Raw genomic sequence first — 21,322 nt, 5'->3', positions numbered from 1 at the left:
GAGCCTCCCGCATAGCTGGGACTACAGGCGCCCGCCACCACGCCCGGCTAATTTTTTGTATTTTTAGTAGAGACGGGGTTTCACTGTGTTAGCCAGGATGGTCTCGATCTCCTGACCTCGTGATCCGCCCACCTCGGCCTCCCAAAGTGCTGGGATTACAGGCATGAGCCACCGTGCCTGGCCAGAAAAAAGTTCTATGTCTAAAAAAAAGAAGGACTCTAAAGTTTTTGGCCTGAGCATTTGGAAATATGGAGTCACCATCTACTACCATCAGGAAGACGTGGGAGAGAGGCTAGAGAGAAAATCCGAAGATCTGTTTTCAGCATATTGTTTGAGTTATGCATTGGACATCAACTGGGGATGTCAAGTGGAACGTTGGATATAATTATCAAGCCTCTGGAAAACAACTTAGAGATAGAGAAGCCAATTCATACATTATTATCAAAAGAAGAAGAATAAATGGACTAAGCATTCTGCTTAAAATTTCCAAACAAGGCCAGGTGCGGTGGCTCACGCCTGTAATCCCAGCACTTTGGGAGGCCGAGGCAGGTGGATTACCTGAGGTCAGGAGTTCGAGACCAGCTAAGCCAACATGATGAAATCCCGTCTCTACTAAAAATATAAAAAATTAGCCAGGCATGATGACGGACACCTGTAATCCCAGCTTCTCGGGAGGCTGAGGCAAGAGAATCGCTTGAACCCAGGAGGTGGAGGTTGCAGTGAGCCAACATCGCATCATTGCACTCTAGCCTGGGCGACAAGGAGAAACTCTGTCTCAAATAAACAAACAAACAAATAAATAAATAAATAAATAATCCAAACAATAATTATAATTTTTAAAAAAGGAAAATTGGAGGAAATGAACAACAAATGGAAATCAACAAGAAAGCCACAGTCTATCAACCATAGGATTGTATAGCAAGCTTGAGACTAGTTCTTAGAGAAATTATTAATAACTTGGTTCTTTGAAAACTTAAGGAAATCAATATTTCTATGGTAAAAAAACAAATAGCAGAAATAGACAAACTTTAGAACAAAAAAGGGAAGTTATAGCAAAACAGATGGCTTTTAATAATCAAAGGTATTTTATGTAACATTGCACAGACTTAAATTTGAAAATTCCCGTGAAATGTATTCCAGTTCAAAAAAGAAGGGCTAATGATCTACAAAATGAAAACATTTCAAAAACCACAAAAGATGTTTTGTAAAAGTTATCAAAGAATGCTCCTAAGTGGCAACTGGTCCCAATAGATTAATGGGAGGATTTTGCAAACTTTAAGCCCCAAAGCGGGGTTTTAGCCCACGAGGGTTCTTGGCTTTGCCCAGAAAAGAATTCAAAGGTGAGCAGGGGCAAGGCAGGGGAAAACAGCTTGCTTTCTTTCCTTCCTTCTTTCTGTCTTTGTGTCTTTCCTTCTTTCTTACTATTTTTTTTTTTTAGACGGAGTCTTGCTCTGTCACCCAGGCTGGAGTGCAGTGGTGTGATCTCGGCTCACTGCAAGCTCCGCCTCCTGGGTTCACGCCATTCTCCTGCCTCAACCTCCCGAGTAGCTGAGTCTACAGGCTCCCGCCAACACGCCTGGCTAATTTTTTGTATTTTTAGTAGAGACAGGGTTTCACTATGTTAGCCAGGATGGTCTTGATCTCCTGACCTCAGGTGATCCACCTGCATTGGCCTCCCAAAGTACTGGGATTACAGACATGAGCCACCACGCCCAGCCTATACCTATTTTTAGCCTATACCTATTTATATAGGTATAAAAATAGCCTATACCTATTTTTAATTACATGTAGATTAAGGGGCAGTTTATGCAGAAATATCTAGGGAAGGGGCAGTAACTTCTGGGTCATGGGGTCATTGCCATGGGAAGGGGCAGTAACTCCTGGGTGTGTTGCCATGGCAATGGCAAACTGACATGGCACACTGGTAGGCGTGTCATAGAAAGTTGCTTCGGGCCAGGCGTGGTGGCCCACACCTGTAATCCCAGCACTTTGGGAGGCCGAGGTGGGCAGATCACCTGAGTCAGGAGTTCAAGACCAGCCTGGCTAATATGGCGAAACCCCATCTCTACTAAAAAATACAAAAATATTAGCTGGGCATGGTGGCATGCGCCTGTAGTCCCAGCTACTCGGGAGGCTGCGGCAGGAGAATCACTTGAATCCGGAAGGTGGAGGTTGCAGTGAGCCGAGATCGTGTCACTGCACTCCAGCCTGGGTAACAGAGCAAGACTCCTTCTCCAAAAAATAAAAATAAATAAAAATAATAAGTTGCTTCAGCCTCCTCCCTGTTTTAGCTGGTCCTCAATTTGGTCCAATATTCGAGCCGAGCCCCATCTCCAGAGTTGAGTCCTGCCTCCTACCTCAAAGGAGCTGTATAAATTGTTCCACAACAAATTTTATTTTACAAGACAGCCTTGGTCTTAATTCACGCATGATAATTCAGAGTAAAATACTAAGTAATAAAATATCAGGCCGGGCGTGGTGGCTCATGTCTGTAATCCCAGCACTTTGGGAGGCCGAGGCGGGTGGATCACCTGAGGTCGGGAGTTCGAGACCAGCCTGGCCAACATGGAGAAACCCCGTCTCTACTAAAAATAAAAAAAAAAAAACATTAGCTGGGTTTGGTGGCACACGCCTGTAGTCCCAGCTACTGGGGAGGCTGAGGCAGGAGAATCGCTTGAACCTGGGAGGCGGAGGCTGTGGTGAGCTGAGATCGTGCCATTGCACTCCAGCCTGGGCAACAAGAGTGAAACTCCGTCTCAAAAAAAAAAAAAAAAAAAAAAAGTGATACCAGTGCTTTCTGACTGAGCTCCTGTCTACCCTGAATCCAATAGATCCTAAGAGTTAGGCAGGTATATCGTCACCCCTGTCCAGCCTGAAGAAGTCACAGAAGTTGTATCTTCCTCCCTCTACAACCCTTAGGATTAAAGGTTCTCTTATAAAAGGGAGCGGGGAAATGTCAGAGGCATGTGAACCAGAGTGACTCCATCTTGAACAGGAGCTGGGTGAAATAAGGCTGAGACCTATGGGCTGCATTCCCAGGAGGTTAGGTATTCTAAGTCAAGGATAAGGCCGGGAACGGTGGCTCATGCCTGTATTCCCAGCACTTTGGGAGGCCAAGGTGGGTGGATCACCTGAGGTCAGGAGTTCGAGACCAGCCTGGCCAACATGGTGAAACCCTGTCTCTACTAAAAATACAAAAATTAGCCAAGTGTGGTGGCAGCGCCTGTAATCCCAGCTACTCGGGAGGCTGAGGCATAAGAATCGCTTGAACCCGGGAGGTGGAGGTTGCGGTCAGCCGAGATCGTGCCACTACAATCCAGCCTGGGTGACAGAGCAAGACTTCATCTCAAAAAAATAAAATTAAATTAAATTAAAAAAAATTAGTCCAGTTGTTACCCTTGGGGAATTTACAGTTTAGCTGGGACCTTGTGTTCCAGAGACTCAGAGAAAGGAAGAGCCCATTCTTTCTGGAAGGAGCATAAATCAGGGAGGGCTTCCTGGAGGAAGTGACATTTGAGGGACGCCTTGAAGGAAATTATTGATGATGAAGAGCAAGAGCATTGGAGTCAAAACTGGGATCAAATTCCAGCTGTCTGGTGTTCTTGCTGTGTGATCTTGGGTAAATGACCTCCCCTCCCAGGACCTCAGCTTATAAAATGAAGCATGCCACCCTATCTCCCTGGGCTGTTGTGAGAATGACCTTAAAGGAGAAACTATATGTGAAGTGCTGTTCTGGAGTAATGACCGCAGACACAGGTATCACTACTATGTTATTTATTTATTTATTTATTTAGCGGCAGGGTCCCGCTCCGTCACCTAGGCTAGAGTGCAGTGATGAGATCACGGCTCACTGCAGCCTCAACCTCCCAGGCTGAAGCAATCCTCCCACTTCAGTCTCCCTAGTAGCTGGCACTACAGGCATGTGCCACCAAACCAGGCTAATTTTCTTTTTTTTATTTTTGTAGAGATGGGGTCTTGCTCTGTTGCCCAGGCAGGTCTCCAGCTTCTGGGCTCAAGGGATCCTCCCGACTGGGCCTCCGAAAGTGCTGGGATCACAGGCGTGAGCCACCATGCCTGGCCTACCATGTAATTTAAAAGATCTGAGCAGGTAGAGTTCAAAAGTAAATTCTAGAACAGCATTTTGTAACAGAAATCTCTGTTATGATGGCAATGTTCTATAGCTGTGCTGTCGAATATGGCAGTCACCAGCCATATGTGGCTACTGAGCACTTGAACTATGGCCAGTGTGCCCGAGGAACTAAATTTGAAATGAAAATTTATTCTTTCTTTCTTTTTTTTTTTGAGATGGAGTCTCATTCTGACATCCAGGCTGGAGTGCAGCGGTGTGATCTAAGCTCACTGCAAACTCCACTTCCCGGGCTCAAGCAATCTACCTGCTTTAAGGAGGATTGAAGCAGAAGGATTCAAGCAACTCCCTCCTCAGTAGCTGGAACTACAGGCACGCCCCACCACGTCTGGCTAATTTTTGTATTTTTTGTAGAGATGGGGTCTTGCTATGTCGCCCAGGCTGGTCTCAAACTCCTGGGCTCATGCAATCCTCCCACCTCGGCCTCCCAAAGTGCTGAGATTATAGGCAGGAGCCACCAGGCCTGGCCAATTGATTCGAATTTGAATAGCCACAGATGGCTCTTGATTGTTGAACTGCACAACATAGATCAGAAGGACATTCCAGCCAGTGGCACAGCTTCAGGAAAGATGCAGAAGCGTGAATATAGCCCGAAGGGTGTGTATTAGCTTCCCACGGCTGCTATAACAAATCACCCCAAACATAGTGACTTAAAACAATACAAATGTATTTTCTTAAAGGTCTGCGGATCAGAGGTCTAAAAGTGTCAGGAGGTCTGTGTTCCTTCTGGGAGCTTCAGAGAGAATCTGTTTCCTTGTCTGTTTCAGCTTCTGGAAGCTGCCTGCATTTCTTGGCACCTCCTCACGTCACTATGACATCTGCTTCCGTTGTCACCTCCTGTGACTGACCCTGACCCTCCTGCCTCCCTCTTAAAAGGACCCTCGTGACTCCATTGAGCCCACCCAGACAATCCAGGATAACCACCCCTTCTCAAGATCCTTTACTTAATCTCACCTGCAAAGTCCCTTTTGCCATGGAAGGTCACCTCTTCACAGGTTCAGGGGATTAAGATGTGGACATCACCGGGGGTCATGATTCTGATTGCTACAGGGTCTGAGAAGCTAGAGAGTAAGTGTGTCCAGTGGTGGAGAGAAGCCTTGAATGCCGAGCTAAGGAGCCTGGACTTGGCCTTTCCTTCAAAATAGATGCATGACCTGTCAGCCTCTCACCACCTCAGCTCTGTTACCCTGATCCAAATCGCTATCACCTCCTGCTTGGACCATTACAGTAGCCTCCTCTCTGGGATCTTCACTGCCCCTACACCATACTCTCACCTCCACCAGCAACCAGAGGGATCCTATTAAAATCTTTTGGCCGGGTGCGGTGGCTCACGCCTGTAATCCCAGCACTTTGGGAGGCTGAGGCGGGTGGATCACCAGGTCAGGAGATCAAGACCATCCTGGCTAACAAGGTGAAACCCCTTCTCTACTAAAAATACAAAAATTAGCTGGGCATGGTGGCGGGCGCCTGTAGTCCCAGCTACTCAGGAGGCTGAGGCAGGAGAATGGCGTGAACTCAGGAGGCGGAGCTTGCAGTGAGCCGAGATTGTGCCACTGCACTCCAGCCTGGGCGACAGAGCGAGACTCCATCTCAAAAAAATAAATAAATAAATAGAATCTTTTATTTATTTATTTTTTGAGACGGAGTCTCGCTCTGTCGCCCAGGCTGGAGTGCAGGGGCTCAATCTTGGCTCACTGTCACCTCTGCCTCCCGGGTTCAAAACGATTCTTCTGCCTCAGCCTCCCAAGTAGCTGGGACTACAGGCATGCGCCACCATGCCCGGCTAATTTTTGTATTTTTAGTAGAGACAGGGTTTCACCATATTGGCTAGGCTGGTCTTGAAGTCCTGACCTCAAGTGATCTACCTGCCTCAGCCTCCCAAAGCCCTGGAATTACAGGCGTGAGCCACCGCAAATGGCCCTATATATCTTTGTTTATAGTCTGTCTTCCTCCACTAGAAGAATATCAGCTCCCTGAGGGCAGGATTTGTGTCTGTTTTGGTCACTGCTATATCTCTAGTGCCTAAAAAGGCCTTGCACATAGCAAGTGCATGATGGATATCTGTTGAATGAAGGAAGGAATAAAATGAAGACATCATTGAGCTCCTGGATCCAGCTATGCCTGAAGCCAGTCTTGTGAAATGAGATAAGAAGATACACACCCACAATGTCTCTCCAGCCTACACCTCCATCTCCGAGACCAGGTCATGGCTGGTGGATTTCTTGCTGTCCACACTTTCGTCCTGGCCCTGGGACTCCCTCAGGGCCCAGTGACAGGCAGCTGGCAGTGACCGGCGGAGTTGAGCCCTCCCAAAATACAGGAAGAGCATGGGATTGAGGCAGCTGTGAGCGAGGGCAAGGCCCACGATGAGGGGTTCAGCCCGCAGGGCCCTGGCCAGGAGTGCGGAGTTCGGGGCCGCCACAGTGAGCACCAGCCCCAGCAGGTGGTAGGGTGCCCAGCAGACAAAAAACCCCACCACAATGGCTGTGCCCAGCGGCCGGCAGCGTCGGGCTGCCCAGCACAGGAGGGCACTGTGGCAGCTGGCCACGGCCACCAGGGGCCCCAGGAAGCCAAAAAGAAACCGGATGGCAGTCACCGCATTCTCGGTGCTGGAGGAGCCGCCGTAGTCCACCACACACTGCAGCCGGGCTGGGAAGTGCTCCTGGTGCAGCCGGCGGTAGATGGCGGAGGGCACGGTGAGCAGCAAGGCCAGTGTCCAGGCTGCCCCACAGGCCACCTGCACCCCGCACGCCCGCTGAACCGTAGACCACCAGGCAGGCCCGAGAGCCAGGAAGCAGAGGTCGGCACTGAGAGCTGCCAGGAGCAGGACGCTGGCATACATGGTCAGCAGGATGATGGAGGGCAGCGCCCGACAGCCCACTGCACCATACGGCCAGTGGCCTCCACGGGCAATGGGCACTGCCAGGATGGGCAGAGACAAACAGCACAGCAAATCCGCCACGGCCAGGTGGAGCAACCAGGTGGCACCCACCCTCCGGCGGGCCACCTTCCCAGCCACCCAGGCCACCATGGCATTGCCCGGCACCCCCACCAGGAAGATGGCGGCATACAGTGGGAGCGGGGCCACGCGCAGCGGGTCGATGGCCAGGCAGGCGCCATCCAGGCAGTCCACAGGGCGGTCCGAGAGGTCGCTGTAATCCCCATACTCGTAGCTGACAGAATCGTTCCCCATTCAGGCTCCTGGTGTCTGGGCAGGAGAGAAAGACGATGAAAACTCAGAGGAGGAAACTCCATGGCCCTGGAGATCTAGGGTGTCCATCAGCCCGGCCCACCAGCACCTTGCAAACTGGAATATTGCGTCATAAGGACTCCAGTGCTTTAGAATATTGGAATTCTAGGCCGGGTGTGGTGGCTCACACCTGTAATCTTAACACTTTGGGAGGCCAAGACAGGTGGATCACTTGAGGTCAGGAATTCAAGACAGGCCAACATGGTGAAACACCGTCTCTACTAAAAATACAAAAATTAGCTGGGTGTGGTGGCGGGCACCTGTAATCCCAGCTACTTGGGAGGCTGAGAATTTCTTGAACCCAGAAGGTGGAGGTGGCAGTGAGCTGAGCTCACACCACTGCACTCCAGCCTGGGAGACAGAGTGAGACTCCATCTCAAAAAAAAAAAAAAAAAATTGGAATTCTAGAACTTAGTGTTGTTAGAAGTGGCATCTTGGAATTCTAGAATATTACAATGCCAGAACCCTAGTACATTGGAATATTGGGGCTGGGCACGGTGGTTCAGGCCTGTAATCCCAACGATTTGAGAGGCCAAGGTGGGAAGATCACTTGAGGTCAGGAGTTCTAGACCAGCCTGGGCAACATAGGGAGACCCCATCTCTACGAAAATTTTTTAAAACATAGCCAGGCATGGTCATGCGTGCCTGTGATCCTAGCTGCCGAAAAGGCTGAAGTGGGAGAATCATTTGAGCCCAGGAGATTGAGTGAGCTTGATCATACCCCTGCACTCCAGCCAGGATGACAGAGAGAGACTCTGTCTCAAAAAATAAAAAAAAATAGGAAAAGAAAGAAAGAAATGAGCAAAATCCAAAATCCACAGTATTTTAGAAGATAATAAATACTATGGGAAAAATATCACACAGGGAAGCTGGCTATGTTGGAGTTGTACAGGCATGGTCAGGGAAGGCTTCTTGAGAAGGTGACATTTGCATAAAAATCTGAAGGAACAGTGGGAGAGATGCATCGAGATCTGGGGGAAGAGTGTTTCAGGCATCGAGAACAGCCAGTGCAAAGGCCCTGAGGTGGGAACATGACGGTCATGTCCAAGAACAGCAAGGAGCCCAGTGTGGCTGGAGTGGAATCTGCCAGAGGGAGAGGGTGAGAGGCAATAGCAGAGTCATCAGGGGCCGGGCACAGTGGCTCATGCCAGTAATCACGGGAATTTGGGAGGCCAAGGTGGGTGGATCACCTGAGGTCAGGAGTTTGAGACCAGCCTGGCCAACATGGTGAAACCCCATCTCTCCTAAAAACACAAAAATAACCTGGAGTGATGGTGGACGCCTGTAATCCCAGCTACTCAGGAGGCTGAGGCAGGAGGGATCACTTGAACCAGGGAGGCGGAGGTTGCTGTGAGCTGAGATCATGCCAGTGCACTCCAGCCTGGGCAACAGAGCAAGACTCCATCTCAAAAAAAGAAAAAAACAAAACAAAACAAAACAAATGAAAAACAGTTATCAGGGGCCACGGCATGTAGGGCCACGTGGGCAACGCAAGGACATCATCATTTATTCCAAATGAGACAGGTGCTATAGGAGGGTGCTGAGCAAGGAAGCGACATAATCTATCATAGCAATAATTTATTTTTTTTGAGACAGAGTTTTGCTCTGTTGCCCAGGCTGGAGTGTGGTGGCATGATCTCGGCTCACTGCAACCTCCGCCTCCTGGGTTCAAGCAATTCTCCTGCCTCAGCCTCCCAAGTAGCTGAGATTACAGGTACATGCCACCACACCTGGCTAATTTTTGTATTTTTAGTAGAGATGGGGTTTCACCATGTTAGCCAGGCTGGTGTCGAACTCCTGACCTCAGGTGATCCACCTGCCTCAGCCTCCCAAAGTGCTGGGATTACAGGCGTGAGCCACCATGTCGGGCCACAATAATATTATTACTATATTATTACTATTTTTTGAGACAGGGTCTGGCTCTGTAGCCCAGACTGGACTGCAGCGGCACTTTCCCAGCTCACTGCAGCCTCCATCTCCTGGGCTCAAGCAACCCTCCACCTCACCCTCCCAAGTAGCTAGGACTACAGGTGCACACCATCATGCCTGATTAATTATTATTATTATTATTATTATTATTATTATTTTGGAGGTCATCTGGTTTCACCATGTTGCCCATGCTGGTCTTGAATTCTGGGGCTTAAGCAACCTGCCTTGTCTCAGCCTCTCAAACTGCTGGGATTACAGGCATGATTGCCACTGTGCCTGACAATAATAATAATAATAAAATTATTATTATTGGAAGCCACTGTTTCTTGAACATTTTGTGTTTTGTGTCAACTTTTTTTTTTTTTTTAGGGACAGATATTGCTCTGTCACTCAGGCTGGAATGCAATGGCACTATCTTGGCTCACTGCAGCCTCGAACTCCTGGGCTCAAGTGGTCCTCCCACCTCAGCCTCCTGAGTACGTGGGACTACAGGTGTGCACCACCACACCTGGCAAATTTATATATATATATTTTTTTTAGAGACAGGGTCTCGCCATCTTGCCAACGCTGGAGTGCAGTGGTGCAATCACGGCTCACTGCAGCCTCAAACTCTGTGCTCAAGTGATCCTCCCACCTCTGCCCCCTGAGTAGCTGGGACTACAGGCAGTGGCCACCACGCAGCTTTAAACACTGTATCACTGAAACCTTGTTTTATTTTATTTTATTTATTTTTTTTTTTGAGACGGAGTCTCACTCTGCTACCCAGGCTGGAGTGCAGTGGCGCTATTTTGGCTCACTGCAACCTCTGCTTCCTGGGTTCAAGCATTACTCCTGCCACAAGCCTCCCGAGTAGCTGGGATTACAGGCGTGCACCACCATGCCCGGGGCTAATTTTTTGTATTTTTAGTAGAGACGGGGTTTCACCATGTTGGTCAGGCTGGTTTGGAATTCCTGACCTCAAGTGGTCTGCCTGCCACGGCCTCCCAAAGTGCTAGGATTACAGGCATGAGCCACCGTGCCTGACCTCACTGAAACCTTATAATAACTGTCTGAATTTGACACTATTGTTATATTTATTCTACAGATAAGGCACAGAGAAGTTAAGTAATTTACCTAAGATCACTCAGCTAAGTAGGTAAAATTTTTTTTTTTGAGACAGAGTCTCGCTCTGTCATCCAGGCTGGAGTGCAGTGACGCAATCTCGGCTCACTGCAACCTCCGCCTCCAGGGTTCAAGCAATTCTCCCGCCTCAGCCTCCTGAGTAGCTGGGACTACAGGCACCCGCCACCATGCCCAACTAATTTGTGTATTTTTAGTAGATACGGGGTTTCATCATATTGGCCAGGCTGGTCTCGAACTCCTGACCTTGTGATCCGCCCACCTCAGCCTCCCAAAGTGCTGGGATTGCAGGCATGAGCCACCGCGCCCAGCCCTAAGTAGGTAAATTTCAAAGTGTGTTAGTCCCCGCTGCAGAACCCCATGCCCTAGAATATTACCATCTCCAAATCTTGGGCTCTGGAGAGCTGGCAGGCAGCACAGCAAGTGGTCCTGAGCAGCCCCGGCCTCCATGACTGTGGGTGTCAGTTGCAGCTGGCTGTGCCTATTTCCTCATCGGGGAAACAAGAGTCATTGAGGTGAACCTACCTCTGGTTTTGGGAGTCCTTGAGGAGTTAAGATTTGTCCAGCACGTGGCACACAGGCTCCGGTAGACAAAGCTGTGGGTAGCACAGGACCCAGGCAGGAGTCCCCACCCCCCCACCCCCACAATGTCAGAGTGACCTGGCCCTGAGGCTCTCTGCTGACTATTATGGGTTGGCTGGCACTGCTCAGCACTCCAGCTGGTGTTGAGGCAACAGGAAGGACAGAGAGGAAGTTGGGGCACTCCCCTCCCCCATGCCAGGTAGCAGTGAAGAGTCCAGGCCACTTGGTGTGTGTATTCGGAGTCTGGCATTCCACTTTCGTATTATTTTTATCCCTAGAGTAAAAGGTGTGCAGAATTTAGCCAGGTGCAGTGGCTCACACCTGTAATCCCAGTACATTGGGAGGCTGAGTTGAGGAGGAAGGATCGCTTGAGGCCAAGAGTTCAAGACCAGCCTAGGCAACACAGTGAGACCCTCTGTCTCTACAAAAAATTTAAAAATTAGCCAGGCATAGTGGTTCGTGCCTGCAATCCCAACCTTTTCTAAGACTGGGGTGGAAGATCACATGAGCCCAGGAGTTTGAGGCTGCAGTTAGCCATGATCGCGCCACTGCACTCCAGCCTGAGCAACAGAGTGAGACCCTGTCCCAAGAAAGAAAGAAAAAGAAAGAAAGAAAGAAAGAAAGGAAGGAAGGAAGGAAGGAAGGAAGGAAGGAAGGAAGGAAGGAAGGAAGGAAGGAAAGAAAGAAAGAAAGAGTACAGCATTTAAAAACTGAACCCCCCCTAGCCGGGCACAGTGGCTCACACCTGTAATCCCAGCACTTTGGGAGGCCGAGGTGGGCGGATCACTTGAGGCCAGGAGTTCAAGACCAGCCTGAGCAACATGGTGAAACCTGGTCTCTACTAAAAATACAAAAATCAGCCAGGCATGGTTGTGGGCTCCTGTAATTCCAGCTACTCGGGAGACTGAGGCAAGAGAATCGCTGGAACCCGGGAGGCAGAGGTTGCAGTGAGCCAAGATCATGCCACTGCACTCCAGCCTGGGCGACAACAGCGAGACTGCATCATAAAAAACAAACAAACAAACAACAACAACAAAAACCCTCAAATTCCTACCAGCTGTGTGGCCTTGGGCAAGTCACCTAAACTATCTGTGCCTCAGTAAAATGGGAATAATAATATTCCTGCCTTAGGGGGTGTTGTAAGAATTCAACAAGTTAGAAGGGTAGAGCTGAGTGTATAGCGCTGGTTTTCAGTGGGTGTCATACGTAGGCTAGCTGCTGTTATCACTGTCCACACGCATCCTCTCACCCCGCAAAGACTCCACCCTTCCTGGCCCTTGTTGATTACAATCCAGAAAACGAAAACTTTCTTTTTTTTTTTTTTTTTTTTTTTTTTTTTTTGAGACGGAGTATCACTCTGTCGCCCAGGCTGGAGTGCAGTGGTGCGATCTCGGCTCACTGCAAGCTCCACCTCCCGGGTTCGCATGATTCTCCTGCCTCAGTCTCCCGAGTAGCTGGGACTACAGGCGCCCGCTACCACTTCCGGCTAATTTTTTGTATTTTTAGTAGAGACAGGGTTTCACCGTGTTAGCCAGGATGGTCTCAATCTCCTGACCTCATGATCCGCCCACCTCGGCCTCCCAAAGTGCTGGGATTACAGGCGTGAGTCAACATGCCCAGCCCAATCCAGGAAACTTTCTGTGCATATAATTTGCCCAGCTGTAAGCCCAAAGCAATGGTATCGTAGATGGCATTTCCTTTGTAACGTCTTAACCAGAAATGGGAGCTTTCAACATACGTTGTTCCATTTCTTCATCTTTTCCACTTAACGTGCCCGATATCTGTTTTCCTGTCTATCTGTACAGATATCAACCCCATTCGTCCTCAAAGCATCAAAAACAGTCCACTGTCTGCCCAAGTGGTGCTTATTAACTAAAGGCCATTCAATAACAATGGTAAGGAGAATAATGAGAAACAGGGCCAGGTGCAGAAGCTCACACCTGTAATCCCAACGCTTTGGGAGTCCTAGGCAGACGGATCACTTGAGGTCAGGAGTTTGAGACCAGCCTGGCCAACATGATAAAATCTCATCTCTGCTAAAGATTTAAAAAAAAAAAAAAATTAGCTGGGCGTGGGGGCGAGTGCCTGTAATCTCAGCTACTCAGAAGGCCGAGGCAGGAGAATCCCTTGAAGCTGGGAGGTGGAGGTTGCAGTCAGCTGAGATCACACCACTGCACTCCAGCATGGGTGACAGAGTGAGACTCCATCTCAAAAAAAAAAAAATTGGATTTGGCTTAGATGATTTTGTCTTGCTGTTGGGTAATGTAAATGTTCTGAACACATTTGAGGTAGGCTACGCCCGTGAGGTCAAGGCTGCAGTGAGCCAAGATCGCGCCACTGCACTCCAGCCTGGACAACAGAGTGAGACCCTGTCTCAAAAAAAAAAAGTAGGCTATGATGTTCAGTAAGCTAGGTGTATTAAATCCAATTTGATTTACAATATTTTCAACTTATGTTGAAAATGTTGGGGGCTTTTGTTTTGTGTTTTCGTCTTGTTCAGTCACCCAAGCTGAGTTCAGTGGTTCAACCTCGGCTCACCACAGCCTCTACCTCCTAGGCTCAACTGATCCTCCTGCCTCAGCCTCTGGAGTAGCTGGGACTACGGGTGCACGCCATCATGCCCAGCTAATTTTTTTTTTTTTTTCTGTATGGACAGCCCTTACTCTGTTGCCCAGGCTGATCTCAAACTCCTGGGCTCAAGAAATCCTCCCACCTCAGCCTCCCAAAAGTGCTGCCATTACAGGCGTGAGCCACTGTGCCCAGCCTTACGATGGGTTGATAGAGATGGGACCCCATTGTAAGTCAAAGAGCGTCTGTACTTATATCTAGCTTTTAAATCATAGGTACCCTTCTTATTATTTCATAATAATTAAAATAATAGATGGCTTTTATTGAGCACCTATGACCTACAAGATATAACCCTCAACACAAACCCTTGAGGTCAATATTATCATCCTCATATCCCACAACATCAGCTCCTTCCAGCCTCGGGTGCCGCTGTGTCCCTGGCATCTGGGACAGAACCTGGCACACAGCACAGGCATGGTCGATATTTGGTAAGTGAAAGGATAAAAGAGTAAACTGAGGCACAGAGAGACTAAGTGGTCACTTAGGTTTCTTTTGTTGTGATTGCAAGCACCCTCACATGTGCCTCTTGGTGCACGCCTGTCTGTGCATCCAGTCTTGCTGGGTTCTCTGCTCTGGAAAACCCTGGAGCAGAATCAAAGAAGGCTGGCCGGGCGCAGTGGCTCACACCTGTAATCCCCGGCACTTTGGGAGGCCCAGGCAGGTGGATCACGAGGTCAGGAGATCGAGACCATCCTGGCTAACATGGTGAAACCCCATCTCTACTAAAAAATACAAAAAATTAGCTGGGCGCGGTGGCGGGCGCCTGTAGTCCCAGCTACTCAGGAGGCTGAGGCAGGAGAATGGCGTGAACCCAGGAGGCGGAGGTTGCAGTGAGCCGAGATCGCACCACTGCACTCCAGCCTGAGCAAGACTCCATCTCAAAAAAAAAAAAAAAAAAAAGGAGTCTGAACATTCTTTATTCCTGAACATCCATCTTCTAGGATTCCTCCCTCACGACCCAGCAATCAGCCTCCTTTCCGCAAAAGAACACATATGCTCACCAGAATACATGTGCCAGAATGTTCACAGCAGCCCAAGATGAGAAACCGTCCAAATAGCCACCCACAGCAGAATGGATAAACACATCATGGGGTGTTCACCCTGTGGAATATTCTACACGATGAGAATGAACAAACACCACACAAGAATGTGGACAGATTTTGTGATAGAACATTGAGGGGGCCAGGCACGGTGATTCACGCCTGTAATCCCAGCACTTTGGGAGGCCAAGGTAGGTGGATCACCTGAGGTCAAAAGTTGGAGACCAGCCTGGCCAACATGGTGAAACCCCATCTCTACTAAAAATACAAAAATTAGCTAGGTGTGGTGGCGTGCACCTGTAATCCCAGCTACTCAGCAGGCTGGGGCAGGAGAATCACTTGAACCTGGGAGGCGGAGGTTGCAGTGAGCCAAGATCGCACCACTGCACTCCAGCCTGGGAGACAGAGTGAGACCCTGTCAAAAGAAAGAAAGAGAGAAAAGGAAAGAAAGAGAAAAGAATTGGAATCGCTGAGTTAAAGGGCTTGCTTGCTACACATGCTACAGTTTGGTGGATCTGCCGAAAGCTGCAGGAATTCCTGCAGGTTTGAGAGAGGCTGTTTCCCATACATCTGTGTGTGAAAAACCATTTGGGCAGGGCACAGTGGCTCACGCCTGTAATCCCAGCACTTTGGGAGGCCAAGGCGGACAGATCACCTGAGGTCGGGAGTTCGAGACCAGCCTGACCAACATGGAGAAACCCCATCTCTACTAAAAATACAAAATTAGCCAGGCATGGTGGCATGCGCTTGTAATCCCAGCTGAGACAAGAGAATCCCTTGAACCTGGGAGGTGGAGGTTGCGGTGAGCCAAGATGGCACCATTGCACTCCAGCCTGGGCAACAAGAATGAAAACCTGTCTCCAAAAAGAGAAAGAAAAAAAATGCTTAGATCCTTTGACAAGAGCTTTGCTGCTGGGCTGCCCAAGTTAATTCAAGAGCCCAGGACTGTGACGTGCGTTCCAGTGTGGCTGTAATAAGACTGCACTTCTCAAACTCTAGTTCTGCTTCCCAGATTCTGAAAGTAATGATTCCGAGAAGCCAAGATCATGCAATCTCTCTCTCCCTCCTTCCCGCCCTTGTAGCCTCCATCCTTACCGTCTCTTCCAAGAGTGTCCCCACGTGAGTCAAACGCCACTTGGGAGCCCAATCCGGGCCCACAGCCAGGACCCAGGAGGTCTGGGGTCTCTCCCTGCCGTGTCTGGCAGCTGGTAGAGTCCTGGAAATCCGTCCTGTTTGCCAGGGCTCCTGTCGGATGCTGCTGAGCACTGCCACCTCACCAGTCCCAGTGAATCTTTATAAGCAGTACAAAATAGGAGTGGCCTTGTCTCGCTCTCAGGGTGTGTTTGTCCTGTCTTCTTCCCGTGACTCACAGAACCCAAAATTACGGGGTGGCTGGCAGGGCAGGAGAGGGCTCGGTTGGGTGGAGGGCTGATCCCAAGTCCCCAACCCTAGTCTCGAAGTCCCACCTTCCTGGAAGCCAGACCTGCATGCGGTTTGCTCTTTAACGCCTTAGAGGTCTTGGCCTGGATTCTGTTTGCCCACAACATGCCAGCTGCCCCCAGCCACCTCCAGGCCTCTAACTGTGTTCAACCCCTCCCTTCTGCAGCCTCAGGACAGACAAACATCCCTCCCTCCTCCTCGGCTCTGAGGAAGACAGCCTGGGGTCACATTCTCCACAAAAAGACCACAGCAGCTGAGCGCAGGGCCCAACGCCTCAGTGGTAGAAAAAGCACAAACAACTCCTTTCTTGGGCCTCAATTTTCCATCTGTAGAATGGGAAGATGTTGTTGGCCATAGCGATGCTTTACTTTTTTTAGAGATGGAGTCTTGCTCTGTCGCTCAGACTGGCGTGCAGTGAAAACATTATGCCTCACTGCAGCCTCAAACTCCTAGGCTCAAGTGATCCTCCCACCTCAGCCTCCTGAGTAGCTAGGACTACAGGCATGCACCAACATACCTGGCTAATTTTTTAAAATTTTCTGTAGAGGTGCGGCCTTGCTGTGTTGCCCAGCCTCAAGCCATCCTCACACCTCGACCTCCCAAAGGGCTGGGATTACAGAAGTGAGCCACAGCCGTGATAGCAATTCTTAACCTCTTCCAGCATATCACAGTGGCTGAGAACAAGAACTCAAGGGCCAGAATGATGAGATTCATATTCCAGGTCGACACACCCTCATCAAAGTTCAGGGCCTCAGCCCCTCTGAACCTCAACTTCCTCATCTGTGCAGTGGATGTTTGCTATGAGCGTTGGATACATTTAAAACGCACAGAACTGGCTGGGCGCGGTAGCTCACATCTGTAATCCCAGCACTTTGGGAGGCCGAGGCAGGTGGATCACTTGAAGTCAAGTGTTCAAGACCAGCCTGGCCAACATGGCAGAACACCATCTCTACTAAAAATACAAAAATTAGCTGGGCGTGGTGGTGCGTGCCTGTAATCCCAGCTACTCGGGAGGCCGAGGCAGGAGAATCATTTGAACCGAGGAGGCGGAGGTTCCAGTGAGCCGAGATCTCACCATTGCACTCCAGCCTGGGCGACAGAGTGAGACTCTGTCTCAAAAAAACAAAAACAAAAAAACCGGAGCAGTGCCTGGCACATAGTATACGCTAGGCTCACGCAACAGCAACAAGACTGTAACGTGAATTCTTAAAGTACACATACCACGCAGGCTTAGCAAGAGGAAGTGGCTCCAACCCCAACTTTGGAACCTCTTTATTCAGCAGTTCTTTCTGTTTGTGCTTTTTTTGTGCGTGCTTTAGGGATTCAAGGGATATATTTACACACTTCTTTTGTTATTGTTTTAGAGAATGAAATCACTTTGCTAGAGGAAGTTGTTCGTGAGACAAGGAGCTGGGACTCACTGTTTGACCCAGGGCTTCCTCCACTCTGTTTCCCTGACTAGGTGACCCTGCGTTGGCTGACCCTCACCCCGGACCCTCAGAGAGGAAAACATCCCCCAAGTCCCCTCCCCTCCTCTTCTGTCCCGGGAAGCCCCCTCCTTGGGAGAGGAGGGACATCCTGCCAGCCCCAATCTCCTGTGGGAATCTGCCCTGGCCTGAAGAAGAGATTAAGAGGAAAGAAACCGAGGTGGAACCTTCCCTTTATCAGCTCAAACTTTCTTTTTTTCTTTCTTTTTTTTTTTTTTTTTGAGACGGAGTCTGTCTCTGTTGCCCAGGCTGGAGTGCAGTGGCGCGATCTCGGCTCACTGCAAGCTCCACCTCCCGGGTTCACACCATTCTCCTGCCTCAGCCCCCCCGAGTAGCTGGGACTACAGGCACCCGCCACCACGCCCGGCTAATTTTTTTTGTATTTTTAGTAGAGACGGGGTTTCGCCGTGTTAGCCAGGATGGTCTCGATCTCCTGACCTCATGATCTGCCCACCTCGGCCTCCCAAAGTGCTGGGATTACAGGCATGAGCCACCACGCCCGGGAGCTCAAACTTGCTTTAACTTGAAAAGTTAACGATGGTCTGTTCCTCAGATGCTTCATCTTGATAAACTCCTGATACATCCACTAAGTTTTTCAACATACATTTCTTAGAATTGCAGCCAGGCAGGATGGCTTACACCTCTAATCTCCACACTTTAGGAGGCCGAGGTGTGAGGACTGCTTGAGGCTAGGATTTTGAGACCAGCCTGACCAACATAGTGAGATGCTGTCTCTGGGGGAAAAATATATATTTTTTTAATCCAGGGTCTGACTCTTCACCCAGATTGGAGTGCAGTGGTGTGATCACAGCTCACCGCAGCCTTGACCTCCTGGGTTCAAGCAATCCTCCCACCTCAGCCCCCAAAGTAGTTGGGACTACAGGCTCAAGCCACCACACCCAGCTAATTTTTTAAAAAACTTTTTGTAGAGATGGGGTCTGTCTCTGTTGCCTAGTCTTGCCTCCAATTCCTAGGCTCGAGCAATCCTCCCACACTGGCCTTCCAAAGTGCCGTGATTACGTGTGCTAGCCACAGCATCTGCCCCCCTAGAATTTGTTTTAATTAGCCAGGCGTGTTGGAGCGAGCCTGTAGTCCTGCTACTCTGGAGGCTGAAGTGGGAGGTGGAGGCTGAGGAGGGAGGATCGCTTGAGCCCAAGAGCTCAAGGCTGCAGTGAACTGTGAATGCACCACTGCACTCCAGCCTGAGCAACAGAGAAAGGCCCTGACTCGAAAAAATAATTTAAAATTTTAAAAAAATTGCCAGTCACGGTGGCTCATGCCTGTAATCCCAGCACTTTGGGATGCCAAGGTGGGTGGATCACCTGAGGTCGGGAGTTCAAGACCAGCCTGACCAACATGGAGAAACCCCGTCTCTACTAAAAATACAAAATTAGCCTAGGTGGTGGGCGCCTGTAATCCCAGCTACTCGGGAGGCTAAGGCAGGAGAATCGCTTGAACCTGGGAGGCGGAGGTTGCGGTGAGCCGAGATCGCGCCATTGCACTGTAGCCTGGGCAACAAGAGCGAAACTGCGTCTCAAAAAAAAAAAACCAAAAAAACAAATTTTTAAGTGTCTTAGATTTGAGGCTGGGCGCAGTGGCTTACTTCTGTAATCCCAGCACTTTGGGAAGCCAAGGCCAGTGGATCATTTGAGGTCAGGAGTTCCAGACCCACCTGGCCAACATTGTGAAACCCTGTCTCTACTGAAAATACAAAAAAAAAAAAAAATTAGTCAGGCTTGGTTGGGGAGTACCTGTAATCCCAGCTACTCAGGAGGCTGAGGCAGGAGAATTGTTTGAACCTGGGAGGTGGAGGTTGCAATGAGCCAAGATGGCACCACTGCACTCCAGCCTGGGCGACAGAGCAGGACTCCGTTTCCAAAAAAACAAAAACAAAACAAAAATCTTAGATTTGGGAAGGCAAAGATTTTCTGGTGTCCCTGGAGCTGAGGGCTGTCACTTGGAGGTCTGGGGGTTGCTATGGGCCAAGAACAGGGTCTCTACAGGCCTCGGAAGGCAGGAGGGGGGCCAGTGTGTACGTGCAGGGGATTCTCTCTCAGCCACCCTGTGAAAAGCCGAGCACTACCCCCTCAACTCACCAGCCATTTCCTCCTGGGAGAAATTTTGAATGAGAACATCCTACAAGGATTTTTTTTGCTTCTTTTTTTCTTTTTCTTTCTCTTTTCTTTTTTTTTTTTTTTGAGACAGAGTCTTGCTATGTCGCCCAGGCTCGAGTGCAGTGGTGTGATCTTGGCTCACTATACCCTCTGCCTCCCAGGTTCAAGCAATTCTCCAGCCTCAGCCTCCTAAGTAGCTGGGATTACAGGCACCTGCCACCATACCCAGCTAATTTTTGTATTTTTAGTAGAAACGGGGTTTCACCATGTTGGCCAGGGTTGTCTCAAACTCCTGACCTCAAATAATCCACCTGCTTCAGCCTCCGAAAGTGCTGGGATTACAGGTATTAGCCACCACACCCAACCATCCTAAAAGGTTCTTAAGTCAATCCATATGAAATTATCATTTTTCAGCCGGGCGCGGTGGCTCACGCCTGTAATCCCAGCACTTTGGGAGGCCGAGGCAGGTGGATTACGAGGTCAGGAGATCGAGACCATCCTGGCTAACATGGTGAAACCCCGTCTCCACTAAAAATACAGAAAATTAGCTGGGCATGGTGGCGGGCACCTGCAGTCCCAGCTACTCAGGAGGCTGAGGCGGGAGAATGGCGTGAACCTGGGAGGCGGAGCTTGCGGCGAGCCGAGATCGTGCCACTGCACTCCAGCCGGGGCGACAGAGCAAGACTCCGTCTCAAAAAAAAAAAAAAAAAAAGAAATTTTCATTTTTCTAGGTCAAAAAGGTTGAATTTCTTTTTATTTTTCTTTCTTTTTTTTTTTTTTTCCAAAAGAGACAGGGGTCTCACTATGTTGCCCAGGCTGGTCTTGAACTCCTGGCCTCAAACAGTCCTCCCACTTTGGCCTCCAAAAGTGCTGAGATTACAGACATGAGATACCATGTCAGGCCACAAGGTCAAATTTCAGCAAATCTGTAGAGTTAGAATGTACCTGGGTGGTCGCCAGGGGTTGAAGGCAAAGAATGGGGGGGGAGTGACTGCTTAATGGGTACTGGGTTTCCTTTTGGGGTGATGAGAATGTTCTGGAACAAGATAGCGGTGATGGATGCACAACACTGCAAATGCATGAAATGCCACTAATGGTAAATTTTATGTTATGTGCATTTTACTACAATTTTTCTTTTACTCGTTTTTTTTGTTTTTGTTTTTGTTTTTGTTTTTAGACAGAGTCTTGCTCTGTCACCAGGCTGGAGGGCAGTGGCTCCATCTTGGCTCATTGCAACCTCCACCTGCCTGCTGTGTCCAAGCGATTCTCCTGCCTCAGCCTCCTGAGTAGCTGGGACTACAGGCACGTGCCACTACGCCCAGCTAATTTTGTATTTTTGGTAGACTCGGGGTTTCACCATGTTGGCCAGGATGGTCTTGATCTCTTGACCTAGTGATCCACCCACCTCGGATCACTCTGTCACCCAGGCTGGAATGCAGTGGTGTGATCTCAGCTCACTGCAACCTCTGCCTCCTGGGCTCAAGCGATCCTCCTGCCTCAGCCTCCCAAGTACCTGGGACTACAGGTACATGTCACCACACCTGGCTAATTTTTTTTTTTTTTTTTTTGTAGAGATAGGGTATCAC

General features: G+C 49.4%; 1 protein-coding gene across 3 annotated transcripts, besides 3 other annotated features; it reads right to left on the bottom strand.

Annotated features, from left to right (window-relative positions):
- Window positions 1-810: 810 nt before the first annotated feature.
- C5AR2 (complement C5a receptor 2) lies at window positions 811-15,965 on the bottom strand. Of its 3 annotated transcripts, none has more exons than NM_001271749.2 (2): window positions 15,791-15,965; window positions 811-7,355 (listed from the first exon to the last, which is right to left on the bottom strand). In NM_001271749.2, the coding sequence occupies exon 2, from the start codon at window positions 7,338-7,340 to the stop codon at window positions 6,327-6,329; it is 1,014 nt and encodes a 337-aa protein (NP_001258678.1). In that variant the 5' UTR covers window positions 7,341-7,355; window positions 15,791-15,965; the 3' UTR covers window positions 811-6,326. The 3 variants fall into 3 exon arrangements, with proteins under 3 accessions (NP_001258678.1, NP_060955.1, NP_001258679.1); NM_018485.3 differs by lacking the exon at window positions 15,791-15,965 and adding an exon at window positions 10,971-11,045; NM_001271750.2 differs by lacking the exon at window positions 15,791-15,965 and adding an exon at window positions 7,528-7,653.
- Window positions 13,042-13,242: a silencer, noted in NCBI's record as "peak3533 fragment used in MPRA reporter construct". NCBI's record gives its function as "represses an SCP1 promoter by STARR-seq MPRAs in K562 erythroleukemia cells {active_cell/tissue: K562}" and the evidence as "EXISTENCE:reporter gene assay evidence [ECO:0000049][PMID:32103011]".
- Window positions 13,042-13,348: a biological region, named in NCBI's record as "Sharpr-MPRA regulatory region 4678".
- Window positions 13,054-13,348: a silencer, noted in NCBI's record as "tiled region #4678; HepG2 Repressive non-DNase unmatched - State 22:ReprW". NCBI's record gives its function as "represses a minimal TATA promoter and a strong SV40 promoter by Sharpr-MPRA in HepG2 cells {active_cell/tissue: HepG2}" and the evidence as "EXISTENCE:reporter gene assay evidence [ECO:0000049][PMID:27701403]".
- Window positions 15,966-21,322: the final 5,357 nt, after the last annotated feature.

This window comes from Homo sapiens, chromosome 19 (assembly GCF_000001405.40).
Source record: "Homo sapiens chromosome 19, GRCh38.p14 Primary Assembly".
NCBI classification, from domain to species: domain Eukaryota; kingdom Metazoa; phylum Chordata; class Mammalia; order Primates; family Hominidae; genus Homo; species Homo sapiens.
The sequence above is the reverse complement of the archived record's forward strand: the minus strand, read 5'-3'. Positions and strand labels throughout refer to the sequence as shown.

Excerpts from the sequence above, each read along its gene's own strand:
- C5AR2 (NM_001271749.2), bottom strand. The coding sequence starts at position 7,340 with ATGGGGAACGATTCTGTCAGCTACGAGTATGGGGATTACAGCGACCTC.